At 46.2% G+C, this 16,333-nt stretch overlaps 1 long non-coding RNA gene across 1 annotated transcript, besides 3 other annotated features; it reads left to right on the top strand.

Annotated features, from left to right (window-relative positions):
- The first annotated feature begins 589 nt into the window (after window positions 1–589).
- Window positions 590–10,340, top strand: LOC107985488 (uncharacterized). Its single transcript, XR_001755005.1, has 3 exons — window positions 590–1,198; window positions 1,431–1,750; window positions 10,302–10,340. It is a non-coding gene; the product is annotated as an uncharacterized LOC107985488 (long non-coding RNA).
- Window positions 12,946–13,146: a silencer, noted in NCBI's record as "peak4405 fragment used in MPRA reporter construct". NCBI's record gives its function as "represses an SCP1 promoter by STARR-seq MPRAs in K562 erythroleukemia cells {active_cell/tissue: K562}" and the evidence as "EXISTENCE:reporter gene assay evidence [ECO:0000049][PMID:32103011]".
- Window positions 14,379–15,163: an enhancer, noted in NCBI's record as "NANOG-H3K27ac hESC enhancer chr21:32956499-32957283 (GRCh37/hg19 assembly coordinates)". NCBI's record gives its function as "activates a minimal SCP1, AML or CMV promoter by ChIP-STARR-seq in naive H9 embryonic stem cells {active_cell/tissue: H9 hESC(naive)}" and the evidence as "EXISTENCE:reporter gene assay evidence [ECO:0000049][PMID:30033119]".
- Window positions 15,164–15,948: an enhancer, noted in NCBI's record as "NANOG-H3K27ac hESC enhancer chr21:32955714-32956498 (GRCh37/hg19 assembly coordinates)". NCBI's record gives its function as "activates a minimal SCP1, AML or CMV promoter by ChIP-STARR-seq in naive H9 embryonic stem cells {active_cell/tissue: H9 hESC(naive)}" and the evidence as "EXISTENCE:reporter gene assay evidence [ECO:0000049][PMID:30033119]".

Below are 16,333 nucleotides of genomic sequence, written 5' to 3'. Positions count from 1 at the left end.
GCTACTTTGCAAGAGACACACCTTGTTCAAGACACATGGTAGAGTGGGTGGGTGGGTCTGCCTAACAGCTCCAAGAGAGGGTGGAGAACCTTTGTTCCCTAAACCTGCATCATGTCACAACACACAGTGAAGTGATTTGCAGCAGGATTCCACTGGTTGCGGCCAACTGAGGGGAGAGTGAGTTGACACTGTAGCTATTTACATTCTCAACCAAGGCTGTGCTGGCTCCTCCCCTGGCATCCCTGGGCCGATTCTGATGCACCTGGGTCAACAGAGACCCTGCAATAATTTTAGTGTCAGCCTCACATCTGTGATCCCAGCACTTTGGGAGGCCGAGGCGGGTGGATCACAAGGTCAGGAGTTTGAGACCAGCCTGGCCAACATGGTGAAACCTTGTCTCTACTAAAAATACAAAAATTAGCTGGGCATGGTGGCACGTGCGTGTAATCCCAGCTACTCAGGAGGCTGAGGCAGGAGAATCGCTTGAACCCGGGAGGCAGAGGTTGCTGTGAGCTGAGATTGTACCACTGTACTCCAGCCTGGGTGACAGAATGACACTCTGCGTCAAAAATAATAATAATAATAATTTAGGGTCAGCCCCAGATCCAAATGAATCGTGGTATTCAAAAGGCAAAAGAATAAAGACATGTGATCTACATGATGCAATGGGCTAAGGAGATTTGGCCAGTTGGACCGAAGGGCTTGGCATAACACACAGCTGGCTTCAGGCGCGTGCCGCCCCCACCTCTCCTGACCCCTAAAAACACCTTCATTGCTTCCAGGTAGAAGAAAGTGGCTTGAGCTTATAGAGGAGGAGGGTTTGCTACACTGGGTTGACTCTCAGGTTTCTTGGAAGTGTAGGGGACAGTGGGGAGTGGGGAAAAGGTGATTGACAGGACAAGATAAATAGAGCTAGCTGATCCGGATCCTCTCACCTCTCAATAATGGTGATAATAGTTAGCATTTCTGAGCTTTGGCTGTAAGACAGGCAGCGAATTAGGTGTTTGTCATGTTATCTCTGGTTCTCACAACTCTCAAGGTGGCTTTTATTTTATTTATTTATTATTATTTTCTGTAGAAACAAGGTCTTGCGATGTTGCCCACAGGCTGGTCTCCCACTGGTCTCAAGCAATCCTCCCACCTCAGCCTCCTAAAGTGCTGGAACTACAGGCATGAGCCACCTCGCCCAGCCTCCAAGGTAGTTTTTATTACACTCGTTCCATTTATCTATGACTGCATAACAAATGACTCAAACCACAGTGGTGGGAAGCCATAACTGCTTTATGATGCTCACGGCTTCTCTGGGTCAGGGTTTGGAAGGGGCTTGTCTCTGCTCCATGATGTCTGAGCTGGGAAGACTTAGAGCACAGGAGAGGCCCAGTGGCTGGGGCCAGATCCATCCCGAGGTTCATCACCTCCATGCCTTGCAGCTGCTGCTGCCGCCGGCTGCACCCTCTGCCGGGGATGTCTGCAGTGCGCCTGCGTGAGGCCCCTCCACGGGACTGAGCTTCCTCACAGCATTGCAAGTTCCAAGAACGAATGTCCCGGGCAAGGGAGCCGGATGCAAGCTGTACCGCCTTCTATAGACGTGGAAGTCACACAGCATCACTTCTACTCTTCCTGAGATTCAAGTTCACCTCTCCGCAGGAGGAGAGTTAAAGTGTCCTTGTAAGAAGAGCCCGTGGATGGGAGATGTTGTCGCGGTCACCGTTGGACGTTTTTTCTGCCACGATTCTTGTTCGAATGGAAGGTAATGCAGACTGGAAGGGTTCCATGGACCACTTGAGGCCAGGTGTGTGAGATTAGCCTGGGTAACATAGCAAGACCCTGTCTCTATAAACCATTTAAAAACTAGCTGGGTGTGGTGGCACGCGCCTGTAGTCCCAGCTACTTTGGACACTGAGGTTGGAGGATTGCTTCAGCCCAGGAGTTCAAGCAGTGAGCTATGATCATGCACTCCAATCTGGGCAACAGAGCAAGATCCTGTCTCAAAAGAAAGAAAGAAGGAAAGGAAGGAAGGGAGAAAGGGAGGGAGGGAGGGAGGAAGGAAGGAAGGAAGGAAGGAAGGAAGGAAGGAAGAAGGGAGGGAGGCAAGGAGGGAGGGAGGGAAGGAGGGAGGGAGGGGAAGGGGAAGGGAGAAGGTTCAGCAGTTCCACAGCTGTTTTTGTTTTGTTTTGTTTTGTTTTTTGAGACAGAGTCTCGCTCTGTCGCCCAGGCTGGAGTGCAGTGGTGCAATCTCGGCTCACTGCAACCTCTGCCTCCCGAGTTCAAGCAATTCTCCTGCCTCAGCCTCCTGAGTAGCTGGGATTACAGGCGCCTGCCACCACGCACAGCTAATTTTTTTGTATTTTTAGTAGACAGAGGGTTTCATCATGTTAGCCAGGCTGGTTTTGAACTCCTGACCTCAAATCATCCACCCGCCTCGGCCTCCCAAAGTGCTGGGATTACAGGTGTGAGCCACCGCACCCGGCCACAGTTCCACAGCTTTTAAGTGCCAGCTCTGGGATCTGCACTGGAGCCACTTGGGTTCAAGGCACTTTCCTATCCACATGACTGCACCCTGACACTGAAGCCCCTGGTGCCTTTGGGTTTCCTTTGCATGTCACTTTCTCCCTTGTAATTGCCCTCTAACCATCATTTCACTTCCTCTTGATCACTCTGATGTGCTTTGATTCTCTTTGATCATGTTTAAACTAATGGTCCCCAACCTTTTAGGCACCAGGGACCAGTTTCATGGGAGACAATTTTTCCATACATGGGGGTGGGAGGGATGGTTTTGGGATGATTTGAGCACATTCCATTTATTGTACACCTTATTTATATTGTGATTCCACTGTAATATATAATGAAATAATTATACAACCCACCGTAATGTAGAATCAGTGGGATCCCTGAGCTTGTCTTCCTGAAACTAGGTGGTCCCATCTGGGGGTCATGGGAGACAGTGACAGATCATCAGGCATTAGGTTCTCATAAGGAGTGTGCAACCTAGATCTATGCCTTGCATTTGCAGTTGACAGTAGGGTTCATGCTCCTATGGGAATCTAATGCTGCCGCTCATCTGACAGGAGGCAGAGCTCACATGGTAATACGAACGATGAGGAGCGGCTGTAAATACAGATAAAGCTTCACTCACTGTCCCACGACTTACCTCCTGCCATGCGGCCTGGTTCCTAACAGGCCACAGAACGGTACCTGGCAGGCGCTGCTGCTGCCCAGGGGATGGGGACACCTGCTATAAACCATTTGTTTTCAAACTTCATTTCTGCCAATAAACAAAGCACAGTTGTGACTCCATATGCAGCATGCTCCCTCTGGGATCCCAGATCACATGCTCTGATGAGGGGGCTCCCGGGATGTGCCATGGGGCTGACATCAATCCTACCCTTTTCTCTTCCATCCCCAAAGCCCTCAGGAACACAAGCAGGGAGAGGGAACTTTTCTTGGGATAAGACTGCAATCCACATTAAATATACAGGAAGCAAATCCTTACCACATTGACTGCTTAAATACTTTTTCTAATAATTATAAGCAGCCAACTTTGTAACTGGTGGAAGCACCATGGTTTGAGCCCAGAGCTTAAGATAACCAGATATGGGCTGGGGGTGGTGGCTCACACCTATAATCCCAGCACTTTGGGAGTTCAAGGTGGGTGGATCACCTAAGGTCAGGAGTTTGAGACCAACCTAGCCAACATGGTGAAACCCCATCTTCACTAAAAATACAAAAATTAGCCAGGCTTGGTGACATGTGCCTGTAATCCCAGGCTTGGTGACATGTGCCTGTAATCCCAGCCATTGCACTCTGCACTCCAGCCTGGGTGACAGAGTAAGACTCTGTCTCAAAAAAAAAAAGAAAAGAAAAAAAAAGATAATCGGATATGGTAGCCTCACTAGGTCAATAGGTAAATTCTCTTTCTCTAAATCCCACTTATTGGGATATTGGTTCTTCTGTTGTGCACACATCTTACAGCTTTTCCTCATTAAAAACTGTGGATCTTTTATGGTATATATTGGTTCTTCTGTTGTGCACACATCTTACAGCCTTTCCTCATTAAAAACTCTGGATCTTTTATGGTATACAGTGTGCCCCTAACCTCCTTCTATTCCCTCATCTTCAGCCCAGCATCCCTGTCCCCTCCCGGCTATGTCATTCCTTTGTCCTCTGCCACTTGAAGTCTCTATAAGCGCTTTCATTGAGTCTTTCCTGCCTGTTCGCATCCTCCAAGGCTAAGAGCCCCCTCAATAGGCTCTTAATGCATAACAAGTTCTCAGAGATCGGCTGTTTCAGCCGCAGTGACCAAACTCGGGGGTCTGATGTTTTCATCTGCTTGGGCTACCATAACAAAACAACAGGCTGGGTGGCTTCAACAACAGGAATGTATTTGTCACAGTTCTGGAGGCTGGAAGTCTGCGATCAGGGTGCCAGCATGGTCAGGTTCTGGTGGGGGCACTCCTCCTGGCTTGCCGTGTGCTGATGTGGCCTTTCCTCAGTGTGTGTTGGAGCAGGAGAGAGAGTGCATGCAAGCTCCTGGGGTTTCTTCTTATAAGGACGCTAATCCCATCAAGAGAGGCCCACCCTCATGACCTCAACTGAACCTCATCACCTCCCAAAGGCTCCATCTCCAAATACCATCATATTGTGGGTAAAGATGGGGAGGGGGCACAATTCAGTTCAGAGCACCGGTGGACACATTTTAGGAGCCCACCACTAGCTTTTAAGCTTCACTGCCATCTTACCTAGGGCTCCAGGGCACTGCAAATGCGGAAAAAACAATCAACTGTTCACAAGAGATGTCTATTAGAATTTCCCATTTCTTTTATGGTAGGTGGAGTAGCGAGGGCTTGGGAGACAGACTTCCTGGGGTTTGAATCCTAGTTTTTCTATTTACTAGCTGTGTGACTTTGGGCATATAGCTCAACCTCTCTGTGCTAATAACAATACCTACCTTATAAGATAGTTGGGGGAGATTATATGCCATAAATCAGGTAAAGCATTAGCATTTAGTCTTTTAAATAATGTTAACTATTTATTAGTCTTCCTATTTAATGATACAAGTGAGCCATTTTTCCTGTCAAAAAAAATAGAAAATGTGATACTAAAAGAGAAATGTGAGCTGGGCGCGGTGGCTCACACCTGTAATCCCAGCACTTTGTGAGGCAGAGGCAGGTGGATCACCTGAGGTCAGGAGTGCAAGACCAGCCTGGCAAACATGGAGAAACCCCCGTCTCTACAAAAATACAAAAGTTAGCCGGGCATGATGGTGGTGCCTATAATCCCAGCTACTCAGGAGGCTGAGGCGGGAGAGTTGCTCGAATCCGGGAGGAAGAGGTTGCAGTGAGCCGAGATTGTGCCATTGCACTCCAGCCTGGGTGACAAAGCCAGACTCCATCTCAAAAAAAAAAGAAAAAAAAAAAAAAAGGAGAGAGAGAGAAATGTGGAAAAGGAAAAAGAAAGGGAAGGATTTGAATGGGAGTTGGGATGAGTTTGGAAAAAGGTACCCACAGTTTGCAGCCCAGCAGAAACAGAATGTAATTCACAAATGAAAGCCACAAATGTAAGCCATATATGTAATTTAAAATTTTCCAGTACCCACATTTAAAAAGTAAAAAGAGACAGGTGAAATTAATTCTAGTAATATATTTTATTTAACCCGATTTATTTAGTTCTGTATGATAACTCACTATATGGTATATTTAAGATAACCCAATACAGTGACTACTGTACAAAATAACCTAAAATTATTAAAGTGACTTTTACATTCCTTTTTCATCCTGAGTCTTTGCCATCTGGTGTGGGTTTTACGCTTATAGCACATCTTAAATCAGACTAGCCATGTTTCAAGTGCTTAATGGCCGCCTGTGGCCAGTGGCTATCATTGGACGGCGCAGGTCTAGTTTCAGACATTCGTTCTTATTTCTCTGGGTATCCGCCAAGACTTGCAAGCCCTATACACAGAGAATATTTTTAGCAGCTGTTAACAAATCGAGGCTCCAGGCAGCAACCACCCATCCTGCTGTAGCGGGACCCACCCCTTGCCACGCGTCTCCTGTTTTCCTTTAAGGTGTTAGAGCACTTCATTTCACCTCCCACTCGAGGGCTGATATTTAAGGGCCTGTTTTGGTTCCATCCTTAGATTTGAATTCATGTAACCCATGGCAACAGTGAGGCTCCTGAAGCTGATTGTGATGTTTAGTTCCCACAATGCTGAGTTGAGAGTTAGGGGGAAAAAGGCACTTGTCTGTAGCTTGGAAAGTGACAGCAGGGCCACAGGGAGACTTTGTTTTGGCAAACTGGATGGCGTTGTTTTTGTTATCCACGTATCCTCTGAGAAACATGTGACTCCTTCCTTCTCTGGACCTTTGTTAGCAGAATGAGATCCTTAGAGCAGAGTTGATTGAGCCAGGATCTGGGGGTTGAGTTCTATAGGGGCGACTTGGCTGCATATAGAGAAACAATGTTTTCTCAGTCACCGCCTCCATTACCCACCCAGGTCAGCCTCAAGAATGTGCTTTTAGGATTACTCCTGGGGGATGGCTTGAATGCCAGGTTTGGGCACAGGGCCACTGCACAACTCTAGGAGGTGCCGCTTGCATTTTATTCCATAGAGATGGGTGCCCCTGGACTATGTACCTTCATGCTCCAAATAGGTCAAATACTGTTTGGTAACAATACTAAGACAGTGTTTGCTTTTTTCACTCTCATTCACTCATGAGTGTGTAGTGGAGTTTTCCAGAGGTTGTCCAACGTGATGATGTTTTTGTTCTGACAGCCAATGAATGTGTGCTGATGTATTCTTGTGTTTTACATTTTTCATGGTTTTATGTATACAATGAGAAAGGTGCCCCCAGTCCCAGTTGTAACCTGGCATCCCTGTTTAATGAGGTAATTTGGAAGTCAGGAGACCCAGTTCTAATCCCAGCTCCACTGATATCTAGTTGGGGGACCTCTCTGAGGCCCTTACCTCATCATAAAGAGTGGATCAGATCAGATCATTTGGATTGCTGGGATTCTTCAGGTTCTAGAGCACTCAATTCTCTATGTACTTTTTTTTTTTTAAGAGACAGGGTCTTGCTCTGTCCCCCATGCTGAACCATAGTGGCATGATCATAGCTCACTGCAGCCTCAAACTCCTGGGCTCAAGCCATCCTCTTGCCTTAGCCTCCTGAGTAGCTGGGAATACAGGCATGTGCCACCATGCCTGGCTAATTTAAAAATTTTTTTTAGAGATGTGCTTTTGCTATGTTGCCCATGCTGGTCTTGAACTCCTGACCTCAATCTATGTACCTTTTTGAGAGCAAATGACCACCCTCAAGAAAATGTCTGAAAAGAGTATAGCTTAGTAGATAGCATCATCTTCACGTACACACACCAGACTCAGTTCCTATAGGAATAGACTCAACACCCTTAGAAGGTCCTCTCAGACCCTTTCCCATCTCTAAACATGTCCCCTTCTCTGTCCCCTTACTCTTTGCTATAATTATAACATCTTCTCAAGATCTCAATACCACCCACTCTATGGCTTATATGTCTTTCTTCCAGCTGTTTCCTCTTTGTGGAAAGCCCTCTCCCCTCTTCATGTGGCAAACCCTCTACAGTCCCAACTCTGATGCTGCCTCCTCCAGGGAGGCCTCTCTGACTTATTCTGGCTAAATCAGGCAGATATAACTACACACATAACCCCATCCTTTTCTCTTACCACTGGATCCAAGACATCTAAGACATCATATTATTTCACCTAAAATGCTTGAAATATAGCTACTCCTTTTTTTTTTTTTTTTGAGACAGAGTCTCCCTCTGTTGCCCAGTCTGGAGTGCAGGGGCATGATCTTGGCTCACTGCAACCTCCACCCCCTGGGTTCAAGCAATTCTCCTGTCTCAGCTTCCCGAGTAGCTGGGACTACAGGTGTGCACCACCACACCAGGCTAATTTTTGTATTTTTGGTAGAGATGGGGTTTCACCATGTTGGCCAGGATGGTCTCCAACCCCTGACCTCAAGTGATCTGCTCTCCTCAGCCTCCCAAAGTGCTGGGATTACAGGTGTGAGCCACTGTGCCCAGCCTGTTTTGGGGTTTTTGTTTGTTTGTTTTGTTTTTGAGATGGAGTCTCACTCTGTTGCCCAGGCTGGAGTGCAGTGGCAGGATCTCAGCTCACTGCAACCTCTGCCTCCCGGGTTCAAGTGATTCTCCTTCCTCAGCTTCCTGAGTAGCTGGGACTACAGGTGCATACCACTGCGCCTGGTTAATTTTTGCTTTTTTTTTTTTGAGATGGAGTCTTGCTCTCTCTCCCGGCTGGAGTGCAATGGCACTATCTCTACTCACTGCAACCTTAGCCTCTTGGGTTCCAGCGATCTCCTGCTTCAGCCTCCGGAGTAGCTAGGACTACAGGCATGCACCATCATGCCCAGCTAATTTTTTGTATTTCTAGTAGAGACGGAGTTTTACCATGTTGGCCAGGATGGTCTCGAACTCTTGACCTCGTGATCCACCCCCCCCCTCCCCCCCGCCCCCCACCCCTTGGCCTCCCAAAGTGCTGGGATTACAGGAATTTTTGCATTTTTAGTAGAGACAAGGTGTCACCATGTTGGTCAGGCTGGTCTCAAACTTCTGACCTCAAGTGATCTGTCTGCCTCGGCCTCCCAAAGTGCTGGGATTACAGGCATGAGCCACCGTGCCTGGCCCCAGTCTGTTTTTTAATAGCAGTTTAACCTGTATCCAAACTAGTACCCTCAGTTTTCTATATCTTTTCTAAGTATCTCTCTTTTTCTTCTGCCAAATGTGGCAGAGAAGATATAGAAAATTGAGGATACTAGTTTGGATGTGGGTTAAGCTGCCATTACTAATTCTTGCCAAATTCTCCAACTGAATTACAAAACTCATCTGAACACTATTTTCCATATGGCCAACTACACCTGCTTTATTATTGGTACCTAGTTTTTCTCGCCCCATCCTCCTGCTGTGGGGGGAGGGGGGGCAGAATGGTTGCTCCTCAGGCTGTCTGCACAATAACTACCCCCCAGGACTTCTTGAGTTGCAGCCTAGGTTTTCTGTATCCTGGGTCATCTTTCCCCACACGCAAGAGTTTTAATTGCTTTTTTGTTGCGCTGTAACTTACATAGAGTGCGCTAATATTAAATGTCTAGTTTGCTACGTTTACATATGTCCACACTTGTGTAACTGCTGACCAAATCAAATTTTAGGACATTGCCATCATCCTAGAAGCTCCCCCACTGCATGCTGTGCCTTTTCATCCAGCAATCACCTCCATCCCCAAGGCCAACCATCATTCTGACTTCTGTGTGTGTGTGTGTGTGTGTATGTGTGTGTGTCACGCTCTCGTTCTGCTGCCCAAGCTGGAATGCAGTGGTGTGATCAAGACTCACTGTGGCCTCAACCTCCTGGTGCAATCTTCCCACCTCTGCCTCTCAACTAGCTGGGATTACAGGCATGCACCACCACCCCTGGCCAATTTTTTATTTTTATTTTTGTAGAGATGTTGTAGAGATGTTTTATTTTTATTTTTATAGGGATGTCGCCCACGCTGATCTCAGACTCCTGGGCACTAGTGATGCTCCCACTTTGGACTCCTAAAATGTTGGCATTACAGTCATGAGCCACCATGCCCAGCCCATTCATATTTCTGTTACCATAAATCAGTTTTTGGTTTTTTTTTTTTGAGACTGAGTCTCGCTCTGTCGGCCAGGCTGGAGTGCAGTGTCACGATCTCGGCTCACTGCAACCTCTGCCTCGTGGGCTCAAGCAATTCTCCTGCCTCAGCCTCCCGAGTAGCTGGGATTACAAGGGTATGCCACCACGCCCGGCTAATTTTTGTATTTTTAGTAGAGATGGGGGTTTCACTATGTTGGGGGTTTCACTATGTTGAACTCCTGACCTCAGGTAATCCACCCGCCTCGGCCTCCCAAAGTGCTGAGATTACAGGCGTGAGCCACCATGCCTGGCCCATAAATCAGTTTTATAGGGCACTAGTCCCATTCATAAGGGCCCCACTCTTATGACTGTCAACCTAAATAAACAGAGGCTCTCCAAAAGAAAATGATGTTTACTTGGGAAAAGAGCATTACAATGGGCATATGCATGCCATAGTAAACTAGGTACGTATTCAGGGAGGTAAAAGAAAACAAAGGTTTTTAAAGGAAAAAGTGAAGAAGATTACATAATTGTTTTGAAATAATTATTCTTGGCTGCAAAGATCAGTAACAAAGGTGATGCCAGTACAAGGTTGGACGTAGTTGCTGAGTAGATGTCCTTGCAAAAGTTTTTTGTTTTTGTGTTTTTTGTAGAGACGGAGTCACCCTATGTTGCCCAGGCTGGTCTCAAACTCCTGGGCTCAAGCAATCCTTCCTGCCTTGGCCTCCCAAAATGCTGAGATTACAGGTGAGCCACCGTGCCCAGTCACAAAAGTATTCTTTTGTGTGAGGTTATCATGGCCATTGTGCTAGGTTGTGAGTTTTGCAGTCTTTGTGATAGTTTTGTTACTAGGCGTATAAGCAAGAGAATCCTCTCTTCATGGTCTTCCCCGGCTCTATGTGCCAGGGGTTTTGTTTGTTGGTTTGTTTGTTTAGTTTTTTTTTTAACATTAGTGAGTCCATTTTGATTCTGACTACTTCTCCCAAAAGGCCCCACCTTCTATTTTTTCTCTTTTATTTTATTTATTTATTTTTTGAGACGGAGTCTCGCTCTGTCGCCCAGGCTGGAGTGCTGTGGCCCCATCTTGGCTCACTGCAAGCTCCGCTTCCCAGGTTCCCACCATTCTCCTGCCTCAGCCTCCCAAGTAGTTGGGACTACAGGCACCCACCACCATGCCCGGCTAATTTTTTGTATTTTTAGTAGAGACGGGGTTTCACCATGTTAGCCAGGATGGTCTTGATCTCCTGACCTTGTGATCCGCCCTCCTAGACCTCCCAAAGTGCTGGGATTGCAGGCGTGAGTCACCACGCCTGGCCCCCACCTTCTATTAAATAATGCCATCACCATGGGGTTAGGATTTCAACATATGAATTTGGGAGGGAAACAAACATTCAGACCATAGCAGGATCCCCCTCTGTAGGAACTTCTTCAGCAACCAGAGCTTCTCTTGCTTGGTGAAGTAACCATCAGAACCTTCCCTTCACCATCAGAACCTAACCTTCCCTTCCCTCCCCTTCCCTCCTCTTCCCCTCCCCTTCCCCTCCCCTTCGCTTCCCCTTCCTTGTTGCTTTTCTTTTCTTTACTTTACTTTTTTTTTTTTTTTTGACAGGGTCTTCCTCTGTTGCCCATACTGGAGTGCAGTGGTGTGATCTTGGCTCACTGAGACCTCCCAGGGTGACGCAATGCTCCCACTTCAGCCTCCCAAGTAGCTGGGACCACAGGCATGCACCACCATATCTGGCTTTTTTTTTTTTTTTTTTTTTTTTTTTTGAGAGATGGGGTTTTGCCATACTGCCCAGGCTGGTCTTGAACTCTTGAGCTCAAGTGATCCTCCCACCTTGGCCTCCCAAAGTGCTGGGATTATAAGCGTGCACCACTGCACCCAGTCAGAACTTACCATTTTCAGACATTTTGTTGATACATCCTGTCTGCTGTTGCCTTGTCTCCCACGGTCTTTGATCATTATACTTTATGTCTACTACAGAGTTGTTAGGCTTGATTTTCCAACTTAAAAAGCAAAACCTCCCCAGGTGCTTAAACAACTCTTCAAAATCTAATAAATCAAACTTCCAATACTGAAATCTCTTAAAAGACCAATATTATTTATCAACATATTCCATTTCTCTATCTACGTATAGATATATATGTATATGTATATATGTGTTCAATCTGCCATGTTTATTTGGAAGTCCTTCTGATGTTACAGCCCTTCACACATTTGAACATGTCTTCCCCAGATTTGAAGATCTCACCTCCATCTCTTCCCCAGCTCAGCAAGCTCATTTTCTTCCATGGTCCTCATGGGACATTATCATCACAGCCTCACCACATTGTCACCTGCAGGATAGCTCTTCAGATGAACTCTTCAGAAAGTCTATTTCTCTCTTCTCTTCAGAAAGTCTATTTCTCTCTTTTTTTTTTTCTGAGACAGAGTCCCATGCTGGAGTGCAATGGCGCAATCTCAGCTCACTGCAACCTCCGCCTCCTGGGTTCAAGCAATTCTCCTGCCTCAGCCTCCTGAGTAGCTGGGATGACAGTCGCCTGCCACCACCCCCAGCTAATTTTTGTATTTTTAGTAGAGATGGGGTTTCACCATGTTGGCCAGGCTGGTCTTGAACTCCTGACCTCAGGTGATCCACCCACCTCGGCCTCCCAAAGTGCTGGGATTACAGGCGTGAGCCACCATGCCCGGCCTTGATTGCCTTTCTTTTAGCTCTTTTAAGATACCTTAATGTCCTGCCATCTGGCACTTCCATCCCATCAACTCTTTCACATTCCTGTGTGATTCTTTCTCAACCCCTTTTAATTTTAGCACCTGATTTTGGTGGCTGAGATTCTGCATTAAGGTTGCTGCTGTCTTCATTCACCTTTTCAGGCCCTGGCTGAATTTTGTATTCTTTTCATGGTCTCTCCATCCAGCAGGGCCACCGCTCACCTGACTGGAGTCTATCTGGCTTTCCTTCCTGACACTCAAGTCATGCTAATGACATAGATGTGGCCTGAGCAAAGGACGGGGGGATTTTTCTTCTCTTGCTTGGATCAGCTTTGTTCATCAAAGCCCACACTATGCTACGTTTGAGTTGAGTAGGGGCACTAAGTCATCCTATTGGCACAGATTGAGATTGTAGTAACCTGAACATTCTAGACCAACAACCTCTTTCCATAGTATCAGTTATTTTTATGCACTTGGTATTCTGTGGACCAGAATGTACATTTATCCTGATTAAATTTCTTTTTTTTTCCGATTAAATTTCAATTGTTAGATTTCATCCATTGTTCTAGCCTACCAAGGTATTTACCAATCTTAATTCAATCTTGGCAGGCATTTACCAATACCTTAATTCAATCTCTCAGGATAGCGTTGATCTCTCCAAGGTCCTGATAAGCCATCGTCTCAGCATTTAGAATGACAATGCAGGACAGAAATAGACCAGCACGGTGGACGGTGCCTTTTGGTACCGACCACTGCTGTTTTGTTCAGATAAAGAAAGAACAGTTGGTGGAAGGAGGCCCAATCAAGGATTTGGTATTTAAAGGATAAACTCCTGGATCCATTTTTCTTATACTTCTGGCTTCCAATTAAAGGACTTATTTCCTGGACCTGCTCCCCCAAAGTCCATGGGCCAGAGATGGGGAACCTAAAGGAAAGTTTCAAATGTGAGGTTTTTTTTGAGAGGGCCCGGATATATTTAAAGTGGGAGAGGTGGCTTTCTGTTCATTTATATTGACTCCCCCTCCCCACCTCTCCTTTTTTTTTTTTTTTTAGGATGGAGACTTGCTTTGTTGCCCAGGCTGGAGTGCAGTGATGCAATCTCAGCTTACTGCAACCTCCGCCTCCTGGGTTCAAGTGAGTCTCCTGCCTCAGCCTCCCAAGTAGCTGGGATTACAGGCACGCACCCGGCTAATTTTTTTTTTTTTTTTTTTTGCATTTTTAGTAGAGATGGGGTTTTACCATGCTGGTCAGGCTGGTCTCAAATTCCTGACCTCAAGTGATCAGCCCACCTCAGCCTCCCAAAGTGCTGGGATTACAGACATGAGTCACTGTGCCCGGCCTCTTCTGACTCTCTTTTCTACCCCTAGAAGATAACTAGAAAGGCAGGCTTTTAGAGCTGCATTAGGAGTGAACAGAAATCTGCCACTTAATTGTCTAAATGGGGAAACTGAGGTGCAGTGAAGTCAGGTTCCTGGGCTAGCCCACTCTGGAACAAGATGACAAAGCCAGGAGGGGACTCCAGTTCCATTGCTCTGTCCTGAGCTGTCTCAGTCAGGTAACCATGGCTGTATACCTGCCACCGCTTCCTAGAGGGTCACTGTGTCTCCAGAATCTGGGGGAAAACATTAGCTTCTTATTAAAACATATGAGGATAGTCCGGACTTGATGGCTCACACTGTAATCCCAGCTCTTTGGGAGGCCGAGGTGGGTGGATCACCTGAAGTCAGGAGTTTGAGAACAGCCTGACCAACGAAGTGAAACCCTGTCTCTACTAAAAATACAAAAATGAGTCGGGCATGGTGGTGGGCACCTGTAATCCCCAGCTACTTGAGAGGCTGAGGCAGGAGACTCATTTGAACCTGGGAGGCAGGGTTGCAGTGAGCAGAGACAGCACCATTGCACTCCAGCCTGGGCAACAAGAGCGAAACTCTGTCTCAAAAAAAAGAAAAGAAAAAGAAAAAAAGAAAAAATGTGCATTTACTAACTACTTGGGCCATGGATGCCAGATCCCCCAGAGAGTACAAAAGTCGATATTTTACTTTATGGAAGAGTTTTTAAGCAGAGAAGTAAGCCTTCAAATAGGCTCCACGAATGTATCAGCTCTATTTGTGGAGGTAGGTCTGTAGCAAGTAGGAGAGGGAAACCATCCTCGTTTCCCTTGTGCTGTTATCATTATTATTTGTTATTTGTAGGTGTGACCAGGGCACAGAATATAAAAGAAAACACTTAAGAAGCCTCTGTGAGGTTACGGGTCTGGTTACTGAGACCTCTCTATAATATGCAGATTTGGCTGGGTGCAGTGGCTCATGCCTGTAATCCCAGCACTTTGGGAGGCCAACATGGGCGCATCGCCTGAGGTCAGGAGTTCGAGACCAACCTGGCCAACATGGTGAAACCCGTCTCTACTAAAAAAACAAAAATTAGCCAGACGTGGTGGCAGGCACTTGTAATCCTAGCTACTTGGGAGGCTGAGGCAGGAGAATTGCTGAAACCTAGGAGGTGGAGGTTGCAGTGGGCCGAGATCGTGCCACTGCACTCCAGCCTGGGGGTCAGAGAGAGACCTTGTCTCAAAAAAAAAAAAAAAAAAAGGCCATGATGATAATGGCGGTTTTGTGGAATGGAAAGGGGGGGAAAGGTGGGGAGAAGATTGAGAAATCGGATGGTTGCCGTGTCTGTGTAGAAGGAAGTAGACATGGGAGACTTTTCATCTTGTTCTGTACTAAGAAAAATTCTTCTGCCTTGCGATCCTGTTGATCTGTGACCTTACCCCCAACCCTGTGCTATCTGAAACATGTGCTGTGTTCACTCAGGGTTAAATGGATTAAGGGCGGTGCAAGATGTGCTTTGTTAAACAGATGCTTGAAGGCAGCATGCTCGTTAAGAGTCATCACCACTCCCTAATCTCAAGTACCCAGGGACACAAACACTGCGGAACGCCGCAGGGTCCTCTGCCTAGGAAAACCAGAGACCTTTGTTCACTTGTTTTATCTGCTGACCTTCCCTCCACTATTGTCCTATGACCCTGCCAAATCCCCCTCTGCGAGAAACACCCAAGAATGATCAATAAAAAAAAAAAAAAAAAAAAAAAAGCATATTCATTCATTTTAGCTTTCTGAGGATATTGGTCAGTCCTTCCCAAGAAGCCGGCTGCATGATGGACCCTCATTTCCATTGCCTGTGGACTGGCTTTACTATCTGTAATTAACAGTGAGGAACTTCGTGGATGGTATTCTTTTGTAGGCATGAATTTCTAACCGAAGAACATCTTTCAGCTCTCAGCATTGTTCATCTGAATGTTGCTATGAGACTGCGGCTATTTATTCCTCTAAAGATCTCTTGCGTGGCTCTGGTGACAGAGTGTATTTTTCATAGCTATGCAGTCTTTCTTCTTATGTAAAAAAGAAATAGGAGATTCTTGCCATTTATTTAACATCGCCTATGAATACATAAGAATATTAGATGGGGGTGGACACCAGAGGTCTTGGGGGAGTAGAGGCCCTTTCAACTGTTTAATTTCTGTTTTATTCCGATGACGTGGTAGAAAGTTGATTTGCCTTGAAGAATCAAAGACCATCAAGCTCTCAGTGCATGTTCCAATAATGTGCTTAAACAGTTAAAAATAGATATGTTTTGGAATAATAATAATCAATGGGTTTGGAATAATAATAATACATGGGCTTTAGAGTAAATAGGCTATAAATATTCTTACCAGTCAATACTATGGGGGATATGTATCTCACAATACAGAGGCATGGTTTCACCTGCCTATTAACCTTTTCTTCTTTTCAGCTTGAAAACATCAATTTTCTTTTTCTTTCTTTTTTTTTTTAAATAGATTTTCACTCTGTCGCCCAGGCTGGAGTGCAGTGGCATGATCTTGGCTCACTGCAACCCCCACCTCCCAGGCTCAAGCGATTCTCCTGCCTCAGCCTCCCAAGTAGCTGGGATTACAGGTGCCCACCACCGCATCTG

Source organism: Homo sapiens, chromosome 21 (genome assembly GCF_000001405.40).
Source record: "Homo sapiens chromosome 21, GRCh38.p14 Primary Assembly".
NCBI lineage: Eukaryota > Metazoa > Chordata > Mammalia > Primates > Hominidae > Homo > Homo sapiens.
The sequence above is the reverse complement of the archived record's forward strand: the minus strand, read 5'-3'. Positions and strand labels throughout refer to the sequence as shown.